The 27,357-nt window shown below is 46.8% G+C and overlaps 2 long non-coding RNA genes and 1 pseudogene across 2 annotated transcripts in view; 1 reads left to right on the top strand and 2 right to left on the bottom strand.

Moving 5' to 3' along the window:
- Positions 1-816: 816 nt before the first annotated feature.
- The window catches only part of LINC02762 (long intergenic non-protein coding RNA 2762), a 91,786-nt gene continuing 65,245 nt past the window's right edge, over positions 817-27,357 (bottom strand). Inside the window, exons 3-4 of the long non-coding RNA NR_126004.1 lie at positions 5,204-5,248; positions 817-3,282 (exon numbers count right to left, since the gene is read on the bottom strand). This is a non-coding gene — a long non-coding RNA (long intergenic non-protein coding RNA 2762). The remainder of the gene's footprint in view (positions 3,283-5,203; positions 5,249-27,357) is intronic.
- On the top strand, positions 10,689-10,794 carry RNU6-44P (RNA, U6 small nuclear 44, pseudogene; annotated as a pseudogene).
- LOC107984388 (uncharacterized) lies at positions 19,817-26,067 on the bottom strand. The gene is made up of 2 exons (XR_001748386.1): positions 24,534-26,067; positions 19,817-20,050 (listed from the first exon to the last, which is right to left on the bottom strand). It is a non-coding gene; the product is annotated as an uncharacterized LOC107984388 (long non-coding RNA).

Genomic DNA, 27,357 nt, shown 5'->3' with positions numbered 1-27,357 from the left:
CTTAGCTAGTTCATTAACTGTGCTGCTAAAAATACAATTATCTCCAACAAACCCTTCATCACTAATAAATGGGGGGAAAAAACTTCCATCATTACCAGAAAGCAGTGGGGTGGACACACCTTCTGTGCAGTAACACTGCAGCCCCAAAGTTTTCATGGAGACTGAGACTGTAACCACACAGGTTTCATGTGGCCAGTTTAGAAATTCAGTCAAGCAACTGCCCTATTATTTGGCTGATTCCAGTTAACTAATGGACTGATTTTGTGCACCCAATTGACATTGACTTTGATTGAGCAGCTGAGTCACAAAGCTGGTGACCAATGTGAGATCTGAGGATCTGCTTAACTGCTCATTCGTTCACCGGGTATTTATTAAGCCCCTACTGGGAGCCAAGCCCCAGGTAGATGTGCAGTGATATGTAAAATAGGCAGGGGTTTTGTTTTGGGGAAGCCTGCAGCCTAGTTGAGAAGGTGTGTCTGCCGGGATCAGGGGAAGGAGAATCCCAGTAATTGAGCTGGGGGTCAAGGCAGAGAGCTCCACTCCTGAGTTGGGGTGTGGGGAGGAGATAGTGGGCACTGAGAAGGGTAGAAGGCTTTCCATTTCACTTAGCATCAAAGCCAAAGCTATTATGATGACCCTGCAGGGTCTGTCCTCCAGCCCCACCCTCTGACCTCTCTGTGATCCTACAAGAGGGGTAAAGGGATGTCAGTGCAAGTCACCCAGGTCATCAGTCAGAGGGAGCCCAGGGCCTAACAAAAACCTGCATAAAGAATTTTTAGGTGGCCCGCTTATCCTAAGAGGTCCCCTTTTTTTTTTATTTCTGGAGCCCAAACTGCTCAGCTGTATCCCCCTGCCCTCATTTCCTACTTCTTCTCCCCTCGCACACTCTGCTCAGGCCTCTTTATTTTTCCTTGACCAAGGCAGGCCTCAAGGCCTTTGCCCTTGCTGTATCTCTGCCTGCCATGCTCTTCCCCGAAGAGCCTCGGGGCTCGCTGCCTGGCTTCTTCCAGGTCTTTGCTTAAACTGTTCTTAGTGAGACCTTTCCTGCCCACCCCCTCATTCCCACCACTCTCTGCCCCTTTCCTGTCTTCATTTTTCTCTATAGCTCTTACTGCCATTTAAGAGATTACATATTTTACTTTTTTTATGTTTGCTGACTGTCTCCCCAACTAAGATGCTGGCTCCTAGATGGCAGGAGATTTTCTGTTTTGTTCCCTGCTCACCCCCCAGCATCACAACAGTGTCTGGCATTTAAAAGGCACTTAGTAGGCCAGGTACAGTGACTCACGCCCATAATCCCAACACTTTGGAAGGCCAAGGCAGGCGGATCACGATGTCAAGCAATCAAGACCATCCTGACCAACATGGTGAAACCCCGTCTCCTGTAAAAATACAAAAATTAGCTGGGTGTGGTGGGGTGTGTCTGTAGTCCCAGCTGCTCAGGAGGCTGAGGCAGGAGAATCACTTGAACCTGGGGGGTGGAGGTTGCAGCGAGCCAAGATCGCGCCACTGCATTCCAGCCTGGCAACAGGGTGAGACTCAGTCTCAAAAAAAAAGGTACTTAGTAAATTTGTGCTGACTGCCTGAATGTACTCATTGTTTGCCTATTGTCTCCCAGGCCCACCACACTCTCTGCACACTGCTCAGTCACACTTGGCTCCTTTGCCAGCTGACTTCTTCACAAGCTCTCTCAATAAGAGATGCTGGGAGAGTAGTGTTGATCTTCTATTCCTCTCACTCTTTCTCTCGTTCCTTCTTCTCCAGGTGATGTCTCTCAAGCAGCTGTGCTATTTCCATCATCTCAGCTCTAGCTGCAGCAGTCCCTCCTCCACAGCAATGCTCCCGAGGCTACGGCTCCTCCTCTGCATCCCAAATCCTAATGATAACCCTCCTTCTTTTTGTTCCCCCAGCCTTAGCTGGGGCAGCAGCTTTCTATAGGTCATAAGCCCTGGGCCACCTCACAGTCTCCCTCTTGCCATCCCAGCCTTCCAACATCTACACATTCTATAGCCAGTGTTAAATTCCTCTATCAGATACACCAAGCCTGGTTTGTGTTTTCCTGCCTGAATCCTGACAAATACAATGAACCGAAGAGGGAAATCAACGCACAAGTACAGTCCTAGGGACTCAGCCAACACAGGGAAAGGGGCAGAGAGCTCTGAAAGAGGCCCTCCCACCCTTCCCAACTCTGTGAGGAGCAAAGACGCTCCAACAGCAACGAAGAAGCCCCACCAGTGCAGACTGGTGTGCCAGATGCCAGGTGAAGGCTGACCCCTCTCAGTGGTGGGGCAGACACTGAGGAGCATGCTCTGACTCAATTTGGCTTGGCTCCTGAAGGTCTGAACCACAAAGACAGCCCGGTGCATCCAGCTGAGAGATGCTGGAGAAGAGAGACACAGGACTGATTCCCCGACACTCTGCATCCCAGGCCTGGGGGATGATGCAGAGCATTCTCAGTGGCCTCCCAGCATGGCATATACCAGGTGATCATCGAGGCTGCCGTCTAATCACAGTCATGGTTATTGCCTCACACCACATAGACTTCTCCTTCAGTCCTGTGACCACAGCTGAGACAATGCACAGTCCAGGGGTGCAATTTTTAATGAGTCTGAGGTTGAAATGTATAAATGTAATTGGTAATTCACACATTTTTTCCTGAGAAGTTGTTATCGGTAGCACATCTCATTATGAATAGCATCTGGAATTGAAGAATGGAAAAGCTGTCATTCCCAAACATCGCGGCTTCTCAGAGTCTCACTGGGAGTGCCTCAAAAATTCACATTCTCAGAACCCAACCTCCAGTAGTTTCTATTCAACGGGGCAACACTGGGGTCCGGGAATTTATAGATACATTTATATTTTAAATCTCCTTATGGTATTAGCAAGAAAAACTGACATTTTAATGTGTTAGATGGTGCCGCTGCCCTGTCACTGCACCTAGAAGCAGTCCCATGAGGGTAGTGTTATTGTTCCCATTTTTATGAATAGGAAACGGAGGTCTGAGAGGATTGCAGCTCCCATAGCTTACTAGTGGTAGATTGGGGATTGAGAAGCCCATGTTCTCTCCATCCCATCATGCCAGCCATACTCACACCTTTGACCAGAAGGAAGGGCTGAAAGGCAGATTCTGAAATGAACTTTTGGTGTCAGGACCCTCTCCCAACCTGGAGGTGGAGAACTAGAAGCAGAGCAGAGACCCATCCTCCAAGAAGATTCAGATTCTCCCAGGGGTCTTCCCAGTGGAGCCAGGACCCATCAGGCCAATCCACCTCGTGAACTTCTCTGCAAGACAGAAAGAAGTACTGGATGTGGCCCCACCCTTGAGGTGCTTCCAGTCTCATTAGGAAGAATAACAACAAAGAACAATGGCCGGGCGCGATGGCTCATGCCTGTAATCCCAGAACTTTGGGAAGCCAAGGTGGGTGGATCACTTGAGGTCAGGAGTTTGAGACCAGCCTGGCCAACATGATGAAACCCCATCTCTACTAAAAATACAAAAATTAGCCAGGCCTGGTGGTGCGCTCCTATAATCCCAGCTACTCGGGAGGCTAAGGCACAAGAATCGCTTGAACCTGGGAGGTGGAGGTTGCAGTGAGCTGAGATCACACCACTGCATTCCAGCCTGGCCAAAAGAGTGAGACCTCATCTCAAAAAAAAAAAAAAAAAAAAAGAGAAAGAAAGAGAGAAAGGAGAAAAAAAAATAAAGAACAACAGGCAGTACTGTCAAATGCCACAAAAATGGGACAAGGATCATGCATATAAGCCTCCAGGGGAGAGAGAGAACTTTCCAGGAACTGAAGGGCATCCTCAGCCTCCACTCTGCCCTTTGGGGAGAGCATTTGAGTCTCCGGAACTCTGGTGGTGCTGTGGCTTCCTTTGGATCCTCACACAACCTCCCAATATAGGTTCTGTTAGTCCAATTTTACAGATGTCCTAGGTCATACTGTTGGTGACAGTCCAGCTGGACTCAAACCTCGGTCTGCCTGCCTTTTGAAATCCATACCCTTTCAACCACACCATGTCCTCAGTGTGTGTGTGCACACTTACACATGCACACACACACACTCACACACACAAACACACACACTCACGTGTCTTATCTACTGTCTGCAGAGGCAATTGTTTTTTGGAGAATGCAACATAGAATACACTGCCAGGTGCATTCAGAGAAGCCAAATCTCCCATAATCCTTCCTGGGGATATTGTTTGCCAAGAGAATGGATTTTTGTGGTGTTTGTGGGGTTTTTTGTTTTACAGTTTTGGGGTTTTTTTAAATGATTAAAAAATAAAGCACGCAGCTTATAACATTTGAGATTTATTCTTTACCTGGCAAGCAGCTTTGTGCCGAAACAGGGCTATACTCCCAGTGCTGGCCTAACCACCAGGAAGCCTGCTCTGTTGGGCACTGGGCTGAGGGATGAGGGGAACAGCAAGGTTAACAAATGCCAATCAGCCAAGGACTTGACCAGGCCACCAAGTGCCCCAGGAACATCCATTTTTTCATCTAACAGATATGCATTCAATGCCTATAGGGTCCCAGGCACTAGAGGTAATAAAATAGCCCTACCCTCAAGGTGCTCAGTCTGATGCGATGGAACAAAATTAGTCATTACAGGCAGAGCACAGTTGCTCACGCCTGTAATCCCAGCACTTTGGGAGGCCAAGTTGGGCAGATCACTTGAGGTCAGGAGTTTAAGATCAACCTGGTCAACAGGGCAAAACCCCATCTCCACTAAAAAATAAAAAATTAGCCAGGCTTGGTGGTGGACGCCTGTAATCCCAGCTACTTGGCAGGCTGCGGAAGGAGAATCGCTGGAACCCAGGAGGTGGAGGTTGCCAGTGAGCTGAGATTGCACCACTGCACTCCAGCCTGGGTGACAGAGTGAGACTCTGTCTCAAAAAAGCAAAAGAAAAAGAAAGGAAAGGAAAGGAAAAAGTTAATCATTACAATACAATGTAAGAAGTGATACAGTGCAGGCCTGCGGCAGCATCCAGAGCAATAGCAAAGTCTGCAAGAATGGAGCGGGGAGAAAGGTGTTACGAAAGCACAAACAAAATTGGAACTCCAGGACCAGAGCTTTGAAGATTAAGGAAGATTTTCTTTCACATACAGAAAAGGGAGGAAGAATTCCCGAAAGAGGAGACAAGAGAGCAACATGACGAACAATTAATAAGGCACAGTGCAGTGAGGACTGTAACATACCTGGAGCAAAACTGGGATGCAGAGGAGGTAGGTTGTGGATTGCACCTGGGGAATGAGTCCTAGATTGATGAATTGTCATTTGACTTTTTCCTAATTCATGCTCACACACAGCCTGATGTATTTCAGAATGTGGCTTAATTGGTATTTTAATTATATGCTTATACCCTGCAACAATTTCAAATGAGAGCAGGTACATGAAACAAGATAACACAGTGAAACCACTTAGAGGACTATGAAGTGTTAGACCAAGTACTGTTGGTAAGGTTGTTTTTGTGTTGTTCTAAGATTCCTGAGGCAGATTACTCCGTTCATTCCCATACCTATTTCCTGAGCCCCTGCTACATGCACAGCTGGGGCCAATGAGCTGGGAGAGCTGGAGGGAAGGGACACAGCAGTACTTCCCCAACACCCAATTTGGTGCCATCCATGGCATGATGCCACCCACCCTGGCTGAGAATGTGTGAATGTCAGTGTCTGTCACTTAGACCAGTGAGGAGGCACTGAAATGGTAAACCCATTGGCATAGCAGTGCTGGGTGGCTGAAGGGTAACAGACTTAGCCTCCACTCCACCTCTCTGCCTAGAGGCCTTGAGGGGCGGCAGCTCTGGATCTCAGTGTTCTCATCTGGAACATTCAGGGATAATGGTGATGGCATGCAGTATCCGAACTCAGAAGCAGAGTCCCCACATGTGCCTCATGCATTCATACTGGCTGCCCCAGGGTAAGGGGTACAGGAGCTGCAAGAAGCACAAAGGAGAGAGGTGTGGACACTCCAGGAACTCTGAGCTCTGAGCTCAGCTCTGCCCATGGCCTTGGATATCTCATTGAACAGCACTTGACAGACTTGCTTTCCTCCCCTGACAGAAAGAAAAAAAACAACTGCCAAGGAATCCCCAAGCCCCAGCTTATTCAATAGCCGACACCAAATGCCACATCCATTCATTAATTTAGTAAACATGGATGGAGTATCTTCTGTTTGTAGGTAATGCACAAGGCACTAGGCTACAAAGATTTTTTAATAAAATATTTTTAAAATAACAAAAAGACACAGCCTCCCAAAATTCATGCAGCATTCTAGCCAAGCTAAAAATAAGAATATTTAAATTTTTTAAGCCAGTGATTTACCTGGTGTCTTCTGGGGTAAAGAAATAATTACAAAACAATGATAACAAGTGTTACTTACAAGAGAGTCTAAATTTTAGAACGAGGCTCTAGCATAGGCCTAGGCACATAGTCACCGTCCAGTATCCAGGGGGATGGGTTCCAGGATCCCCCACAGATGCCAAAATCCAAGGATGCACAAGTCCCTCACATAAAATGATGTAATATTTGCATATAACCTATGCACATCCTCCCTTACACTTTAAATCATCTTTAGATTACTTATAATACCTAATACCATGTAAATGCTATGTAAATAGTTATTATACTGTATTTTTTATTTGTATTTTTTCCAAATATTTTAAATCCAAGGTTGGTTGAATCTGCAAATGCAGAATCCACAGATATGAAAGGTCAACAGTAGTCAGTGTTCATAAATATTTGTTGAAATAATAAAGGATGGCCGGACGCAGTGGCTCACACCAGTAGTCCCAACACTTTGGGAGGCCAAAGTGAGTGGATCACTTGAGCCCAGGAGTTTGAGACCAGCCTGGCCAACATGGCGAAACCCCAACTCTACAAAAAATACAAAAAAATTAGCTGGGCAAGGTGGTGCATGTCTGTAGTCCCAGCTACTCAGGAGGCTGTGGTGGGAGGATCACCTGAACCCTGGGAGGTTGAGGCTGCAGTGAGCTGTGATATTACCACTGCACTCCAGCCTGGGCAACATAGTAAGATCCTATCTCAAAAAAAAATAAGTAAATAAATAAAAGAAATAAGAGAGGTTATAAGAACAGGGCCTCATGAAAGCATCTAGGAGCAGTACCCAGCCCATGGGTGGGGTCAAAGAAGGCACCCCGAGGGAGCAACTCCTGATGTCTGCAATTGCCTCAGTTGGATCCACTTGGATCTGCTTTGGGGAAAACCCAGGCTGAGGGGCTGGCAAGAGCTCTGCTCTCTAGGGAGCGTCAGGCAACAGAGCAATGGCCGCATCCCACACTGCCTCTAGGATTTAAGGCTGAGGGGCTGTGAGTCAACGCTGCCTTTGCCAAGAGATGCCCAAGTAGTATACGATGTTTTTAGGGCTAGGGAGGAGGTGGTGGTGGCAGATTCAGCCTCCACTCAAGCTGAAGTGTTTGCAAACATGGCCAGTTGGCCACACCTACCTGCCCAGAGGGCCCCCTGCTGGCACCTCCTCTCACTGAGTCCCTGGCTATCTCATTTGGCAAGAGCACAGCAGAATCCAGGCCTAAATTGCTTGTTCTGTCTCCTTCCTGCAACTTCCTGACATAATCATCTTGTCAGGCATTTGTCCACATGCCGAAGAATGAGCTTGCCCAAGGCCAGCTCCATCAACTCACTCTTTTATCCATGTAGCACTCGATTCAGGCTGAAAAATAGGATTATTTCACTTTTTAGCTGGTGTACAGCCTGGCAGAACTGTTTTTGGGAAAGTGATTGGTAATGTAAGTGGCACATGGCAGGGAGAAGAGCACCAGCTCAACCACCCACTAACCCTGGGGCCCTGGGCAAGTCACAGAAAATCTCTGAGCCCCCATTTCTCTGAAGCACTTGGAAAGGACAGATAACAGAATGCTCAGGAGCCGAGGGACAAATTATAAGCAGCAGCATAGCAGATGCATCACCCACATCAGCAGAAGTGCACACTATTGGATGCTTCAGGTGAGGGCATCTCAAAAAACCCACTGTATTAGGGGCATAGCAGAATAGGTGGCACTCAAATTAGATCATTTGAGGAGAGATTAATAAAAAGATTATGTATGAAGCTGTGAGTGGGGCAGAAGACCTTGGGGGAATAGTGCAGTGTTCTGAAGCTAATAACAGCCTTAGCATCCTAATAGGGCAGAACTGGGAGCCCAGGTACAGGGAGGAGTGTCTACAGAGAACCTGCTGGGAGCTGCAACCTTCAATGGAGGGATGCAGCCAGACGATGTCGACCCCACAGAGAGGGAACCAGGGGAATAACTACCCCAGCCTCTCTCCCCTGACTCTCTCCAGACTCCTGCCAGGGATCCCCACTCACCAAACTCAAGCAGACACTGAAAGGTAAGGGAGCCCTTTGATACATTCTACATGCACCAGCCCAGGAAACAAAGCAGGGTGAAGGAGGATGAGAGGTTGGCTATGGAGAGACAAATAAAGATATCTAGCACACCCCACAAAAGCAACCCACAAGAAAAAGGGTCAACTTTGAATGTCTACCAAAACAATGGGGGCACCAAAACAGCAAGATCATGACAGTCCCAGCCAAGTAAGCTCTTTCCTGCCTCTCCCACTTCCTCTATGCTCCAGCCAACCCTACAGTGTTCAGAAACTGCAGTTAGTAAGTCAGTAGATTGAGGATGGGGTGAGGAGGTACCAAGCAGGATAGTAGAGAGCTCATTGTGCCTCCTTTTCCCAGTGCAGGCTTTTAGCCTGACAGACCACAGCTGGAGAGCGTATCAGTTAGAGTGTGAGAGGCTGCAGTAACAAAAAGTCCCAAACATGCAGTGACTCAACACAGTACAAGTCTGTTTCTTGCTCATATAACAGTACAGGAAAGTGCCAGGTTAGGGTAGTAGGGAAAGCAGTGGGCTTTGCTTCATCCACGCAGTTAGAGTCCCACACTGATGATCTTTAACAGACAGCTCCCACATGCAGGCTACGTGAGGACTTATCAATGCACAGCCATCACAGGCAGGTGCTACTGAGAAACAAAAACACTTCAGTGGCAAATTATAGAGAGATCTGGATCACTCCCATGTCAGCCAACCAGAAAGAGGAGATAGTATGAAGAAGCACACATGGGAAGTGTTTCTGGGACAGGCCTGGAAATGAAACCTATCCCTCTGTTCACATTCCATTGGCTAGACCTCAGTCACACGGCCACTTCTAACTGCAAGGAAGACTGGGAAATTGAGTCTGCTGGCCAGCCATGAGATTAGAACTTTTATTATAAGGGAAAATGGATTTTGGTGGACAGTTGTCAGTCTTTGTTACAGAGAAATTTTAAATATTGAATTTTGCTTCTACACAGAATGGACATTTTAATCACTGACAGAGGCCAGGAGCGGTGGCTCACACCTGTAATCCCGCACTTTGGGAGGCCAAGGCAGGCGGATCACTTGAGATCAGGAGTTCAAGTCCAATGTGGCCTACGTGGTGAAAACCCATCTCTACTAACAATACAAAAATTAGCCAGGTGTGGTGGCAGGCACCTGTAGTCCCAGCTACTTGGGAGGCTGAGGCAGGAGAATCACTTGAACAAGGAGGTGGAGGTTGAAGTCAGCCATGATCTCACCACTGAACTCCAGCCTGGGTGACAGAGCGAGTGAGACTCCATCTCAATAACAAATTAATTAATTAATTAAATCACTGACAGAGTTTTTGTGATTAAAAGTTATAAGAGAACTTCCCTTATTTGACAGGGGAAAAAGGAGTCAAGACATCTGCCCTAGATTTACCAAAGGAACAAAACAGTACCAGGCAGAGAGCAGGTTTGAACCAGCTTGAACAACAGTTTGAAAAACAGTTTGAAAGTTGTTTGTTTACACTTTGGGGATTTCCACTTGCTCAGTGTGCCAGTTATTCTGTGATCAGAATATGGGTAAATTTTTTCTCTCTCTTTTCACTTCTCTGAGAGAAATTTTCTAAATTGCTTATAATAAATGTTTCTTTTAAATGAAGAAAACTATTAAAAATATACATATTTTTTAAAAGTCAATGAAGTTAGTCAATCTTCTTATTCTGACTGCATTCAGTTCTTTACTGACCACCAGTCCCCTATGCTTTAAAAAGCCATGTGTAATACCATCTTACATATCATTTTTCCTCCATTAATGGTGTCTCTTTTGCTCAAGTCGACTCAACACTATTCAATCCCATTTGACTCTTCCTCCCTCACCCCCGCACCCAGTTGATGACTAACACCTTGTTATGCACAGGGAAGTTGGTCATGGCAGCTGGGGAAGGGGACTGAGGGCTGAGGACAGCAGAGCAGAGCATGCAGGCTACATGGAGGACTTATCAATGCACAGCTATCACAGGCAGGTGCTACTGAGACACAAAAACACTTCAGTGGCAAATTATAGAGAGATCTGGGTCAGGATCCAGGTAAAAGCAGTAAAGAAGTTTTCCAGGGATGACGGGGCTCATAGATGTCATCTAGAGACCAAGTCCAGGGCATGTACTTTAGACAGTGTATGGCTTCATCCTGCTTCAGTTCTAAGTAAATCTCCCCACCACTCACACGCCACTTCCCAACCCCACCTCCATTGCCATCATCATCTGCATTTGATGTCCAAGCTATACATGGTGAAGTCAGGAACAAAACCAAGAAGTCAGCTCAAGACTGTAACCACTCTATAGTGAAAATAACGCTCCCGTGCTCGCTTCGGCAGCACATATACTAAAATTGGAACGATAAAGAGAAGATTAGCATGGCCCCTGTGCAAGGATGACATGCAAATTCGTGAAGCATTCTATATTTTTATCTTTGACAAACCTGAAAAAAACAAGCAATGGGGAAAGAATTAACTATTAAATAAATGGGGCTGGGAAAACTGGCTAGCCATATGCAGAAAACTGAAACTGGACTCCTTCCTTTACGCCTTATACAAAAATTAACTCAAGATGGATTAAAGACTTAAATGTAAGCCCTAGAATCATAAAAATCCTAGAAGAAAACCTAGGCAATACCATTCAGGACATAAGCATGGGCAAAGTCTTCATGACTAAAACACCAAAAGCAACGGCAACAAAAGCCAAAATTGACAAATGGGATCTAATTAAACTAAAGAGCTTCTGCACAGCAAAAGAAACTATCATCAGAGTGAACTGGCAACCTACAGAATGGGGAAAAATTTTTGCAATCTACCCATCTGACAAAGGTTTAATATCCACAATTCACAAGGAACTTAAACAAATTTATAAGAAAAAAACAAACAACCCCATCAAGGATATGAACAGACACTTCTCAAAAGAAGACATTTATGCGGCCAACAAGCATATGAAAAAAACGCTCATCATCACTGGTCATTAGAGAAACGCAAATCAAAACCACAATGAGATACCATCTCACGCCAGTTAGAATGACAATCATTAAAAAGTCAGGAAACAACAGATTCTACAGAGGATGTGGAGAAATAGGAATGCTTTTACACTGTTGGTGGGAGTGTAAATTAGTTCAACCGTTGTGGAAGACAGTGTGGCAATTCCTCAAGGATCTACAACTAGAAATACCATTTGATTCAGCAATCCCATTACTGGGTATATACCCAAAGGATTACAAATCATTCTGCTATAAAGACACATGCACACGTATGTTTATTACAGCAGTGCTCACAATAGCAAAGACTTGAAACCAACCCAAATGCACATCAATGATAGACTGGATAAAGAAAATGTCGCACATATGCACCATGGAATACTATGCAGCCATAAAAAAGGATGAGCTCATGTCCTTTGCAGGGACATGGATGAAGCTGGAAACCATCATTCTAAGCAAACTAACATAGGAACGGACAACCAAATACTGCATGTTCTCACTCATAAGTGGGAGTTCAACAATGAGACACATGGACACAGAGAGGGGAACATCACACACCAGGGCCTGTCAGGAGGGATAGCATTAGGAGAAATACCTAATGTAGATGATGGGTTGATGGGTGCAGCAAACCACCATGGCACGTGTACACCTACATAACAAATCAGCACATTCTGCACATGTATCCCAGAACTTAAAGTATAATAAAAAAAAAAGAAAAGAAAAGAATGCTCCCACTGCAATTGATAAAATTACACATGTAAAGTGCTTACACTAGCTATGTTAGTTTGCTAGGGCTGCCATAACAAGATATTGCAGATTGGGTGGCTCAAACGGAAATGTCTCACAGTTCTGGAGTCTGGAAAGTCCAAGATCAAGGTGTCAATCAGTTGGTTTCTTTTGAGGGCCATAAAGGAAAGATCTGTTCCAGACCTCTCTCCTCAGCTTGTGAATGGCCATTTTCTTCCCACGTCTTCACATGGTTTTCCCTCTGTACATGCTGTGCCCTAATCTCTTTTTGAAGGGATGCAAGTCATACTGGATCAGGGCTCACCCTAATGACTTCAGTTTACCTTACTTACCTGTATAAAGATCCTGTCTCCGAATATAGTAACATTCTGAGGTACTGGGGGCTACGGCTTCAAATATCAATTTGGCCAAGGGTGGCTGAGGGGTCACAATTCAGCCCATGCTACTAGCTAAGTGATCATAGCTATTACTAGGATCCTGGAATTCAAGGACCCCCACAATGTCAACATCCAAATCAGCTTTCCATTCAACTTTATGTATCTTACCCCCATCCGAATCAGAGGTTTACAGGCACTTTTGACCAAAATACCACAAACATTCCCTCCTCCAAGCTTTTTCTCTACTGTGATGGCCCACACCCTATAATCTACCTTGTGATAAGAAACACACCAAACTCTCCTCATAGTGAAAGATGCAGCTCAAGCCCCATCCTGTATTCTATGTCCCCTTTACAGGTTAGGAAACTGAAGCTCAGAGTGGTTAAGGAATTTTGTCCAAGGTCACCAGAAAGTGAGGCTAGAAATGCGATCCTAACTCCACCTGTCCGACTCCAGGTCCAACGGTCCCTCCACGCTGAACTCCTACAGCAACCCTGGCCTGAAGCACTCACAGGGCAGTGAAGTTTACAACATCCTGATGTCCTCTTCATTGTCACCTGGAGATTTTAGTTTGAGCTTTTAAGTCCTTATTATCAAATTTCTATTCACATCTTTTCCTCCTACCTATATTTTTGGCACCTTGAGACAGGAATGGACTTTTCACTTATACAGATCTTTTCATAGCCACTGGCAGGGCTCGATGGAGATGGCTGATGCTGGTGTAGGGCCAGCGTGGGGGTCATTCTCTGAAACCTAAAACACATACCCACTCCTCCAGGGAAGTACACACACTCCTCAGAGAGTTGGCTTCAGCCAGCTGGACACATTGGGCTCTGCCTCCTCCAAACACAGTGGCTTCATGAACCAATTGATTCCAGAGATGGAACCTCTGCCATTCCCTCTCAGCCCCAGGTCCCTCCCAGAGCTGGAAGCAGACCAGGCCTCATGCTTGAGTGGGGCATCCCAGAGCCCAGCTTCTAGAAATAGGGCTGGATATCCACACTGACACATTTGCCTCCGTCTCCTTCTGCTTTCCCCCTTCCTTTCCTGTCCCCAGTCTCTCCTCTCTCCTCTTTCCAGGACCTCCAGGTTGCCTAAAGCTAACCTCTGCTACTGAGTGGCTACTGTAGGCCAGGCACTATTCTAAGCACTTTATAGCTGTAACCATTGCATTGAACAAGAAGGACTCAGGAAGTGATGACACAAAGGTATTTTTACTCTGAGTCTCACAATTTATTTATGCCTCCTCAGTGGGGGTGGGCTTTCTTGGATAAAACCTCAGTCCACATGGTTCTTTTGGCCCCTTAATAAAACTTCTGGAGTCACTTTAAAGTACAAACAGCCTTAAGTCCACAATTACAATGGTTCAACTCCACGCAATAACCAAAAGTAAAGACTTGACTAAAAGGTGAAATGTTCTTCCCGTGTCCAGCTGAGCTCTGCAGCGTGGGGGCTTTTTGAAGCATGTGTGACCGTGGGGAACAAACAAAGTGGTATGGGGGTGTGGTCTGTGGTGGCCATGGGGGTAGCCACTCAAACCTCTTTCAGGAAAACCCACCAAGAGGAGCAGAGTTGACTGACAGCCCAGGAGCCACACTTGGGATCTGCCCCACATTTGCACCAAGGCTATAGTTCCCAGGGACGCCCCCATCTAAAAGCTGAGTGCTGCAAAGGTGCTAGAACCAGGCCATTGCTGCCTGCCAGGAACTCTTCTGTTGGGCAACCTTGGCCAGGGCCAGAGAGGGGACTAGCCAGCCTTGCCCAGACCCACTCCCCACTGCACTGCATCTGAGACTTTTCCTACCCAGTCCTCCTTCTTTCCCACTCCTGAACCATGGACCAAAGCCTTTATGCCTAAACTTGCTTCCTTTCCCTTTATCCTTCATAGGTATTTCCCCTAACAAATCTCTGCCTCTCAGGAGCCTGAATTGATATGTGACCTTTTTTTTCCTGCCTGGCAGTTTCTACTCCTCACCAGCCAAAGGGGCCAGTGGCCGCGTGGGAAGCAGGTGTCATCAGCTTCTCCTTTTCTCCCTCTGTTCCTCCCATCTCACTTACTGCTCCTTCGCCTCCCGTCTCACACCCAGACTGGCCCTGACTTAAGATGGCTCTCACTCCCAGGACCTGGCAGGGCTTTAACACCAACCACGTTTCTTATGTGGCACTTTCATGGGTTCCTCAATAAGGGCAGCGCCTCTTCTGCTAGCATTTCCTGTCCTCCCCCTCAATTTCAGTGTATTAGTCAGGGTTCTCTAGAGCAACAGAACCAATAGGATGTGGATGGATGAATGGATGGATAGATAGATGATAGAGATAGAGAGAAAGAGAGAGGGTAGATAGATAGATGATAGAGATAGATAGATAGATAGATAGATAGATAGATAGATAGATAGATAGATAGACAGACAGACAGACAGACAGACAGATAGAGGATTGGATTGCCCAAATATGGAGGCTGAGAAGTCCCAAGATCTACAGTTGGCAAGCTGGAGACCTGGGAGAGCTGATGGTGTAGTTCTAACCCAAAAGCCAGCAGGCTAAAGACCAAAGGGAGCTGATGTTTCGGTGCAGCTCCAAAGCAGAAAAAGACAAGTGTCCCAGCTCAAAGCAGTCAGGACAAAGGAATTCCCTCTTTTCTCAGCTTTTCTGTTCTATTCAGGTCTTCAATTGATTGGATGAGACCACATTAGGGAAGGCAACCTGCTTTACTCAGTTTAGCAATTTAAATGTTCATCTCATCCAGAAACACACAGCCACACCCAGGATGATGTTGAACCAACTGTCTGGGCACTCTGTGGCCAGAAAATTATGTGACACATAAAATTAACCATCACATCCAGCTACTGCCCCCAACAGGGACACCCCACAGTGCCTTAATGCTAGTGTTGGGAGCCCTCTCTTGGCCGGATACATTTTCTGGCCTCCTTCAGCCTACAAATCTCATACCTGGCCGAGGGTGCAGGTGTGACCTGCTATGGGAGAGGAATGTGACTGCTTCCAGATGCCATCTTCCACTCTGCTGCCTCAGTCATGAGCCATGCCCAGGCCTCCGTGTTCCCAGTGGTAGGAGGTTCTTCAGGCTCTCCGAGTGGTCACCTCTCCACCACTCCCCCTGGGAATTGGGGAGGATGGGGAAGGACCCCCAGCTCACCCACAACTCTCTCAGAAAAATACTTCTCAATCTCTCTCAGCCCTTTAGTATGCTCCTATGATTATGGAGTTCAAGAAGTAGTGAACTAGTTGCTGTTCATCTACTGTAGTCTGGGTATAACTCCATCTTTGCATTTCAGCCTCTATTGTATCTTGGTGCCATGGCAGAAACTTTTTACACATCCTGTTACATAGGTATTTCTTCATTTTTAAGCCTCACAAAAACCTTGTAAGATAGGAGTCATCCTTACCCCCATTTTACAGATAGGGAAATTGAGGTACAGGGAGGTTGAGGAGTTTGTTCCATATCATACTGCTATTAAATGGTGGGGCTAGGATTTAAACCCAAACGGTCTGGCGCTCATCCCTACATTGCACTTACACAATGTTAGAGGGAAGAAGAAGAATGGCAATGGCACAAAATTATTTCTTCTCCATCAGAACAGTATTTTACTGAGTGAAGACTCAGTGTCCTACATAGAGTCACAGTCAGCACTGTCTAGCAGGTATGTGTTTCTTGCCTGTAATAGGTCACAGTTTGATTGATACTTGATTTGGTCTGTTTTCTCCAGTTTGCTGCCCTATCTCTCCTCTCCCCTTGGAGTCTCAGTTTCCTCACCTATAATAGGAGGATAATATAAGATCCGCCTCACAAGGCCATGGTGAGAATTAGCAATAATAAACATCAGATCAATGGCACATGATTATATGGTGGTAAGAGCATTAATTCTAGGATCAGCAGATTTGGGGGTCAAAGACCAACTTCAATATTTTTTAGCTGTGTCCCACGGGCAAGATACCTAACCTTGCTAAGCCTCTTGTGGACACAACATAGTACCTACATTACAGAATAGTTGTAAAATGAGACTTAGTAAAGTATTTGTAAAGGGCTTGGACAGGTAACCAGCATTTGATAAAAATCAGTGTTTGCTGCTGCAGCTGCTGCTGCTAATTCACGCATTTGTTGTGCTCCTTCCCTGATGTAGTCACTGTGCTGGTTTTGAGACAAACAATGGATGCGCTCCTTCCCCATAAGGAGCTCATGGCCTGGTGAGGGAGGCAGGCAGATGAGTTGACGGACAAGAGCGAGGCATGAGGTGGGTGCAATGAGACAGTGAACACAGGGCCAGGGAGTAGAGAAAGGATCCTCTGTGACCGCTTCCTTCCAGACTTGGCTTTGGCTTTGCTGACCCATCCCTTGCTCAATGCCCCAGGATAAGAAGTCCACCTCTGACTTCAATGGCCTGGATTATCGCTTGACTCAGAATCAGCAAGTTATGCTGTGGTGGCAGGAAGCGGCCCAGTGAGGAGATGGCTGTGTTTGCAGCTATCTGAAATACCTGCTCTCTAAAAAAGAAAAAATATATATCTTCTGAACCATAAATGCTGCTGGTGAGGGCTCAGAGATGGCATATGTCCCCCAGATAAGTTAACCAAGCTTATAATGGGCTCCTCACACATCACCAGAGGCCACCTGTGAAGGCAGCGCACCCCCCGGGACTGAAACCACGTCGTTCCACCCTTTGAGCCAGCTCAGTGACCGGCTCAACTCAGAGGCAGCTGGCTTCCCTGCCCAGAGGAGCTAGCCTCCGGTATTAGCACCACCAGAGCTCCCAGGATCTCCTCTCTCACCAAAGTTGCTGTTGAATTCCAGGCAGGACCTCCCTAAGAGGAAGCAAAGCCTCACAGGCCTGGGGCCCGAGGACCCTCTGGCCTGCTGTGGAGACTGTGACTTTCACAGCATGAAAGCCACAAACCTACTGGAGGCCTCCCACCTCATTTTCACTGCACCCTTCCCCCCAACACCTTCCAGGCCCAGGCAGGGGCCAGCTTCTCCCCCTACAGGCCTCTTTTGTGCCTGGCATCTGTTGTCCGTCTGCATCCTCACTGCCCCACCCTTGTTCAGATCTGCCTTGTGACCCAGCTGGACTGTGTCAAAGAGCGCCTAATGGCACTCCTCCCTCTAACCTCATGCCTCCTGACGCCACCTTGACACCTGGGTGAGGGGGACATTTAGCTCTCGCCAGGCCACTCCCCTCCTCAGAAATCTCCCCCAGCTCCCCACCACCCAGCAGAGGGACAGAGCCATGGGCTCAGGCCAGACGCAGTGTGTAGATAAGTTTTGTTTGACCTACGTAGTGTTTGTAAAATTTTTGAATGATAATTTTAATATCAGGAAATGCATATAAAAATTCAGGTTTCTGGCTTTTCTCAAGTACCAGGAGAGCTGGCAAGGGTCCGTATATCTACCTGGAGCCATCAGCTGGAGCTGGGTTGCAGCAGCTGCTCACCCCACCAGCTTCAGCTGTTCACCCACATCAGGGCCACTGTAAACATTGGAGTGTGGGACCCCAGCCAAGTGTTTAAGTCCAGACTCTTTGGGCTCCTTCCCTTAATCCCTTCCTAAGTCTTCCTCATAACCTCATCTCTCGCTATAGACAGAGGGAGCACATGATGTATCTTTCAAACTGGAACAATTTTGAAAGTAAAAAGAGACAACAGGAATCATTAACAGCTGTTCACTGAGCCACGAGAGTCATAAAGTGGGACTTTTTCTGGGCAACCTGGGCATAAGGTCTCCCAACTACTGGCCCCAACTTGGGCATCACACACCCCAAACTCCAACCAAGACACATCGCTCATGCTTCCTTAATGGAGCCTACATTGGCAGGTCAGTGCTTTCACCCCTGTTTTCCTGCTTCTAGAAATATCCTTCCTTCCCATCTCAGCCTGTCAAGATCCAGCCAGCACTTCAAAGCCCAGACCAAATGTGACTGCTTCCTGGAAGCACTCCCATGTTTCCTAGTTGGAATTCCTCTTCCCTCTTCTGAGTGTGTAAATTTGCTATGACCCTTCCTTGTGTCTCGCATTAGAATCATGCCATACATTCAGCCAACAAACATTTATGGACCACTCAGGATCCAGCAGTGAGCAAGGCCAAAGTTCCTCCCCTCGGTGAGCATGTATTTGACCGCAAGTGTCACCCTTGCTCATTAGCTTACAAACTTCTCAAGGACAGGAATTGCGTGTGGAAGGTCTGGTGCTCTGAACCCAGCAGATGATCAAGAATATTTGCCACATTAAATTGTAAAGACCTCTCTGAGCCTTACCCTCCTCCTCTGCCACAGGGGGATCATACCCACCCTTCTTCCCTTCCAGTATAGCTCTGAGGCTTCATAAGAAGCCAAGGGATGGTTCTTTGTAAAGTTAAAAATATTTTAGCATTGTAGAGTTCTAAAAACAGCAGCTACTGAGCAATGCAAACTGCGGTCAGCACATCCTGTATCACCTCCTTTTAAATGATAAACATTATCATTCCCTGTTAACAGAGGAAGAAACTGAGGCTCAGAGAAATTGATTGGCTGGTGAGGGAGAGCCAGGCTCAGTCCTGAGCCTGTTTGGTGTTTGGCTCTGGACTCTGAATGTTTCTGCCACACCATGCTGAATATTAACTAGATTCCAGTGTGACCCAGTTTCTCCTTTAGGAACAAGAAAGACTAGAAGTGCATCTGAGGGAAATCTAACTTTAGCATCCCCCTGGGAAGTACCTTAGCAGATACTGTTTCCACCCTAAATGACAGTGGAGAACATAAACAGTGACTGGCACGGAGGGACCAAGATGTCTGGATCCCTGGGCCTAAACCTGTCTGCCCCCACCCCCACTGTGCCTCCAGCATCCCCATGGACATTGCCCCCTCAGCCTCTCTGGGCAGTGGGGACCTTCAGAGGCTGCAGCAGGCCTGGTCTAGGGCTGTGACGGGTGATAAATCTCCCTGAAGTGGAGGGTCATATCTGTGAAGGTCCCCTGCCCTACCCGCAACACACACACAGGTCTGGAGACTCCATTTAGCACAGGCGAGGAGGAGGGAGGGGAGAGTGGCAGGAGAAGCACAGTGTTCTCAGTTCACCTGCTGAGATTATGAGTACCTTTCACCTGGGGCTGCTTCCCAGGCCTGAAGTCTGTGCCTGGCTCTCTGCAGGAACTCTGGTCATTGCCAGGAAGAAGCACAAATTGGGTTAAAAAGCCATGCTACCATGATTCCAGAACTCCCATTCTGTGAGGCTGTGCTTCCCATGTCAATGAACAGCCAACTCCCTGTAAATGTCTGCTGATTTCTATAATTACTTGGGGAAAATGTCATGTTTGCCACTGTGCTATTAGTGTAGCACACAGGCTAAGATGCAAACAACTCCACACCAACATAAATATTTTTAATGGCGCTGTTCCAACTCTCTGGTGCATGTGCTTCCAGATGATCACACAAGAGAAAATCAAAAAGAAGGATCTTCTGTTATGAAATGTAGTCATACGGAGGCTGCGTCTGAAGACAGACAGTTCCAGTCAGCTGTAAAATCCAGTGTGATCCTGCATTTGAAGCCATATGTATTCTCTCTTCCTTGAGACTTGATCACTACCTGATTTGACTGTGAAACAAAATGCTGGATATTTAAGCAGTTTTCACAGGAACCCTTAGCAAACGCATCATAGGAACTGAAAAAGGGAAGAATCAGGCTGACCTTTGGGTAAGTCAATATACTTCCTTGGGCCAAGGTTGTCCCATCTATAAAATCGGGATAAGATATCAACTGACCAAAGTGAGTATGACTTTCTTGTACTTCCTTCAAGCTCTGAAATACATGATGCATTGAAGGCTTGTGATTTCATGCCAAAGTAACTTGCAAATAAATGTCAGGATTAACCAGGTGGCGTGGCTCACACTTATAATCCCAGCACTGGAGGCCAAGGTAGGGGGATCACTTCAGGTCAGGAGTTCGAGACCAGCCTGGCCAACATAGTGAAACTCTGTCTCTACTAAAAATAGGGCAACATGGTGAAACCCCGTCTCTACTAAAATACAAAAAAATTAGCCAGGCATGGCATCTTGTGCCTGTAGTCCCAGCTACTTGGGAGGCTGAGGCAGGAGAATTACTTGAACCTGGGAAGCAGAGGTTGCAGGGAGCCGAGATCATGCCACTGCACTCCAGCCTGGGTGACAGAATGAGACTCCATCTCAAAAAAAAAAAAAAATTAGCTAGGTGTGGTGGAGCACACCTGTAATCCCAGCTACTTGAGAGGCTGAGGCAGGAGAATTGCTTGAACCTGGGAAGCGGAGGTTGCAATGAGTCGAGATCACACCACTGCACTCCAGCCTGGGCAACAGAGTGAGACTCCATCTAAGTAAATAAATAAATAAACAAATGCCAGGATGCTCTTTAGTTTCTGCTGACTCTAGGAGAAGTGGTCAGGCCTGCCCTAACATTGGCAGGGCCCAGGGAAAGATTACAAATGGAGACCCATGTGTTACAGGTCACATTTAGAAGTTAGAAATCAAGCTAATAAACCATTAAATAAAAGATGTTTTTGTTCTTCTTCCTTGACAAAGTAGGCCTTCAAAATGACCTGGAAGGCCAGGATGGACTTTAGAATTCTTGACTTCTTAGGGTTCCACACCACGGTATTGTAGTTGGAAGAGCCTCCCCCAGCCTTTCCCCTTTTCTCCCACTCCTATCTCCATCTCAAGGGGCCTTGCACACCTGCTTGCGAGCAATGCGGCGTGCATGTCCATGCTCTGTACATGCATACAATCACATGCACACATACACAACCAATAACAGTTCCAGGAGTGTGTGCACTAGCAGCATAAGCCATCCTCCAGAGGATGGACCTGGGAAAGAAGCCTGATAATGGACTTGGGGCTGTTTGAGCTGGAAATCCCAGGGTCCTGTGTATCCTTAGAGTGACTGAGAAGAGGGAGCACTTCCACTGGTTCCACACCCTATAGAGAACTGTAAGTCCACGGGAGACCAGAGTGGGGCCAAGACAAGGACCCCTCTTGACTGGAACTATAGGCAGCTCTAGAGGTGGTGTAAATGATATGCCATTGGCAATGGGCTACTTTCCCCAATATATAAAGAACTCCTTCCAATCAGCAAGGGAAAGTGATAGAGACTCCTCCACAGAAAGTGAAGAGCCTTCATTTAAAAGAATATGAATGGCAGCCGGGCGCCGTGGCTAACGCCTGTAATCCTAGCACTTTGGGAGGCTGAGGCAGGCGGATTACCTGAGGTCGGGAGTTCAAGACCAGCCTGGCCAACATGGTGAAACCCCGTCTCTACTAAAAATACAAAAAATTAGCCAGGTGCAGTGGTGCGCACCTGTAATCCCAACTACTCTGGAGGCTGAGACAGGAGAATCACTTGAAACTGGGAGGTGGAGGTTGTGGTGAACCGAGATCACACCACTGCACTCCAGCCTGGGGTACAGGTCGAGACTTTGTATCAAAAAAAAAAAAAAGAACATGAATGGCCCCTAAAAATAAAAAGGTCAAAAGTTTGGTAGCACATTTTGTTGACAAGGGAGTAAGCAGCAGACATTCTCATCCCACTGCTGGTGGGAGTGAAGGCAGTGTGAGCTCTTGGAAGCACATGTTGGAAACTGCTAGAAAACTTACAAATGCATACACTCCTTGACCCAGCAATTCCACATCTACTTGTGGAAGCTTGAGAAACTCTTCAACAAGAAAGAATATTAATTGCAGTATGTCTCGTGATGGCAAAATACCGGAAGCAAACTAAAAGTCTGCCAGGGTGGAACTGGTTAACTCAGCAATGTCCTCCGTCCAATAGAATGGCATGAGGCAGATCTATATGAGCCCATACATGGAATGGTCTTCAATATACATTGCTTAGTGTTGAAAGAAAAGTGCCCAGTCAGGACAGTGGTGGTGTGCTGAGATTTGTGTGAAAAGAAAGAACCCACATATACATACACATATATTCATTGTGCAAAAGCTCTCTGGAAGGACACACAAGAGACTTAACAGAGGCTACATTCAAGGAGGGGATCTGGCTGGCTGGGGAGAGCTGTGAGCTGGAGACTTACTCTTTTGCTGTATCTCTTTTGTGCCTTCTTAATTTGTACCATGTGTATGTTTTACTTATTCCAAAATACTCAAGTAATAAAAAATAAAACCCTTAGCTCAACACACTATCTGTTCCTTCTGTTCCTTGTTTTTTCTCTTTTTTTCTTTCTTCTTTTTTTATTTTTTTAGAGGAATGCAGTGGTATGATCATAGCTCACCTCCCTGGGCCCAAGCAGTCCTCCCACCTGAGCCTCCTGAGTAGCTAGAATAACAGGCACATACCATCAAACCCAGCTAATTTTTTTTTTATTAGAGATGAGTTCTCCCTATGTTGCTCAGGCTGGTCTCAAACTCCTTGAGCTCAAGCGATCCTCCTGCTTTGGTCTCCCGAAGTGCTGGAATTACAGACATAAGCCACCAAGCCTGGCCTGGCCCTATTTCAATAGTAGTTATCTTTTCTACCTTATGCCATCATCATTTATACACTACTTTTGCATCCTCATCTATATTTTACAGTTTGTGAGGGCAGAATTCATGTCAAATAATAACTAAAATTTTTGAGAATCTATCATATGCCAAGCCCTGTTATCAATTCTTTATGTGCATTATCTCATTTATTTCTCTATAATCACCTCTGATGGTAGGGACTGTTACTATCCTCATTTTACTAGCAGGGCATTAAAAAAAACTTCCCTAAGGCCACCTAGCTATGTGCTGCAGACGCTGTCTGATCCCAAAACTGTTTGACTCCATTTCTGGCTGACTTCAAGTTTGCCTTAATCATTGTACATAGCAGCTCATTCTTCCTCTGATACACACAGAGTACCTGAAATCAGTAATGCATAAGTGAATGGGTGCATGAGTGAGTATATGAGTGATGTACCCACCACATCAACAGTTATCCTGCCTGTTGTGCTTCTAGGTCATAGCATGCTGTTCCTAGATTTGGGGAGGACTTCCTTATAAATAACCACAGGTTTCCATTCCCTGCTACTGCCTGGAGGGAAATATGGAGATGGAATTTACCAACTAAGGAAGATGAAGGGGCTGGTGGTTTCACATAAGAGAGGATATTTTTTAAGCAAAGGCGCTGGGGTTTAGACAAGAGCCTGAGGGCCTATTCTGTCACTTCTGCATGAAGCATAGTTCACATCTCAAAGCTCTGAAATGTCAGAGAGCTGATTGTACAGTCCCTGGTCATACAGAGCCCAAGGGTTCCTTCCAACAGCAGGGCAGCCTGTACATGCTCATCCTGCAGTCTAAGGGCCGAGCAACCATGAATCCCATGTGGGATAGCCTTGTTTGAGCATAGAAACAAAGGTTTCTAGTCCTCTCTACCAAAAAAAAATTGCTGATGTGTTCATGTACCTGTTTGTTTTCCACACTCCAAACAAAGCCCACTGTGAGCTTCCATAAGACAATTTGAACCAGGCCCCATGATCCTTACACACAATTCTGTCTCCTCATCTTGCATGATTTATATGGGGTTTAAATAATAAATTGCATGGATGCTATAGAATTTATAGTGCTCCAAGTAGGTCATTAAATAAATCACTGTATAATTTATATAAATGAACCTAAATCATGCAGCAGGAGGACTTCATTAGAAAATCAATCCTGTGAGTGGATAAACATGAGGACTGGCAGGTGCACTGTTGTTTTTGAAAAGTCCCTGCATCTGTGACCGCATGTGAAGGTGCTCTGTGCTGGAGGGCACTCACTTCTCCCAACCCCACCCTCCCCCTGCTCAGTTGTGGGTGCTCCCAGGAAGCTGGGTTCAGGCTTGCAGTCTCCAAGAAGACCTGCTTCCACCTCCAAGTTCCCGGGCTCTTCTAGCGGGAGTCCACACAGCCGCAGGGACTCAGGTCACCTCAAAGGCAGCCAGCCTCTTACCATTTCCATGGCAGAACTGAGGATAAAAGATAAGGCTTGGGGCATTCTGAGTAAGGAAATCCACAGGGCTCCCGCCAACTAGAAGCCCAGTCTTGGCTTGAACACAGGCCAAGAAAGAAGTCCAAACATCTTTGGCTGGCAGGAGTGTTCACCTTGCCGTGGGCAGATGTCTGCCTGATGCTGCTGCCTGCCAGCTGTGCTTCCCCCAGCCTCCCATGCAGAATACATTCCAGCCTCCATCAGGAACCCATTCTTGAGGGGACATAAAGGACAGATCGGTCCAAGGGGCAGGTCCGATTAGGGCAGCTTAAACCCCTCAATTCCTCTCCAGGTCCATTCTGGGACAGGAGAGCCTTGGGATCTCCACCTGGCAAAGAGAAGCACATCATTAACAGCAGCCTGGGGCAGCTCTGCCAGTCAGGGTGGGAGGCAGGAGGCTGACGACTGAAGGCAGAGACATTTTAGGATATGGGAATCTCAGGCGAGGAGGTCCTGTATTTTTAAAACCGTTGCTTGAGACAGATCATTGAGATTGAGTTAAACAAGATGCAAGATGAACAAATGGCCTATTAATAACAAGCTCTCTGGGAAACTCTACAGGCTCAGTGAGGCTCCCCAGAACCCTGTGGGAAGTTTGGCAACAAGGAAAGCTGAAAGAGTCATGATGTGGCAGCCCATGTGTGTCCTATGCTTTTTAGTCACTTTAAGAACATGAGTTTAAAGACGCTGATCCCCCCAACACTTGACTTCCCTAATTCCTTGGCTTGCACACTCTGAAATACTGCAGGTCCAGGGGGTCAAGGTAGCTCTTTGCTCCTGAGAGGGGAGGCAGCTGGGGACATGGCCCCAGAGGGCCTGTGAGGACCACAAAACTGCCTGTCCCATGGATTGGGCCAGGCTCCTTTTGCCCTCTGCTCCTGTGGGTCACTGTTGCCCAAACACTCACAGGTGGCTGTGCCCATCGTCTTCATTGAGACCCTTTGGTGTTGATGCCTAAGAAATAAGAGAATGAAGCCCTGATAGCTGGGACATCCTTTGAATCTCCCAGACATCGTTCAATCTCTGTCTTAGTGATCTGAGGCCAACAGCTATAGAAAAAAAAAAAAAAACTGTCACCTGAACAGACCATCATTCACCTAATTTCCCCACTGGATCATTGTCTTAGCCCATTTAGGTTGCTATAACCAAATTCCCTAGCCTGGGCAGAGTATAAACAGCAAACATTTATTTCTCACAGTTCTGGAGGCTGGGAAGTCCAAAATGAAGGCATGGCAGATTTGGAGTCTGCCCCACTTCCTACATGGCGCCTTCTCCTTGTGACCTCACATGGCAGAAAGGTTGAGGAGCTCACTGGGCACTAATCTCATTCATGAGGGTGGAACCTCATGGGGCATAAACCATAGCAAGTATCGAGATCACCAGGGAGGTAGTGGCAGAGGGGACCAGCACACCCTGTGCTTCCAAGATCTCATTTACAGTCACAACTGAGATTTTTCCCATTCTGAAAAGAGGAGACAGAAGGAGAGAGAGAAAAAGAAGGAAAGAGGGAAAGGAGGGAGGAAGGGGAAAGACATCTTGTGAATCTACTGACTCTACTTGTCTCTCAAGTTACTACCCTAGGTTTTTTCTCTTGCCTTTATTGCCTAATTATTGTTGTTTGTTTATTTGTTGTTTGTTTGAGCTCTGTTGCCCAGGCTTGAGTGCAGTGGCACAAACATAGCTCACTGCAGCCTCAACTCCCTTGAGCCAAAGCAATCCTCCTGCTTCAGCCTCCGACATAGCTGGGACCACAGGCATGTACTACCACCATGCCTGGCTTTTTTTTTTTTTTTTTCCAGAAGCAAGGTGTCCCTATATTGTCCTGGCTGGTCGAACTCCTGGGCTCAAGCGATCCTCCCACCTCGGCCTCCCAAAATGCAGAGAGTACAGGTGTGAGCCACTGCACCTGGCCCCAATTACCATTTTTCTTTCTTTCTTTTTTTTTTTCTTTTTGAGATGGAGTCTCACTCCGTTGCCCAGACTGGAGTGCAGTGGCATGATCTCCACTCACTGCAACCTCTGCCTCCCAGGTTCAAGCAATTCTGCCTCAGCCTCCCAAGCAGCTGGGAATACAGGTGCCTGCCACCATGCCCAGCTAATTTTTTGTATTTTTAGTAGAGGCAAGGGTTCACCATGTTGGCCAGGCTGATCTCGAACTCCTGACCTCAGGCTATCCACCCACCTCAGCCTCCCAAAGTGCTGGGATTACAGGTGTGAGCCATCGTGCCCAGCCAATTATCATTTTTTAAACAAGCCCCACCTGTTGCCTTTTCTGCTCAGCTGCTACTCACTCCTGAACCCCTTTGCCTCTGTGCACACTGCTCTCTGAGAAGTTGCCAGCACCCTCCTCCTGTATGCTTCTGTTCTCACACATTCCAGCATCCCCACTGCGTTCCACACGACTGGGTCGCCACCCTGCTGAAGCCTCCTTCTCCCTGCACCTACAAAACTCTCCTGTGGCTCTTGTTCACTCTTTACTTCCCAGGGCTCTTTGACTTGTTTTCTCCTTTTCCTTCTCTCAACATCAGCATCCCCCTTGGTTTCAAATGCCATGCCCATGAAGATGACTCTCAGATCCACATTTCTGACTCTGAGCCGATGCCTTCATGATAAGCAACCTCTCTGGTTATCATTACATTGCTCTAATTGGATGCCCCACTACCTAAAACTGAACTCACCATCTTTCTCCCTGCAAATGGACTTCCTTCCTAGGACTCATTATCACCATGTGGAATATCTCCATCCTCAAGCTCCTGAGGCCTTTTGAATGCTCCAGTTGTTTTAACACCCCATACAATCCTTCATTGACGCCTGCCAATTATTTCTATGATGTTTCTCTCACATCCACTCCACCCCCACTGCCCTCACCCCAAAGGAGCCCTCATCGTCTCATACATGGTCAAGAGAAATATGCTTTTAAAGCCAGGAGGAATCCAA

Source organism: Homo sapiens, chromosome 11 (genome assembly GCF_000001405.40).
Source record: "Homo sapiens chromosome 11, GRCh38.p14 Primary Assembly".
Lineage (NCBI taxonomy): Eukaryota > Metazoa > Chordata > Mammalia > Primates > Hominidae > Homo > Homo sapiens.
The sequence above is the reverse complement of the archived record's forward strand: the minus strand, read 5'-3'. Positions and strand labels throughout refer to the sequence as shown.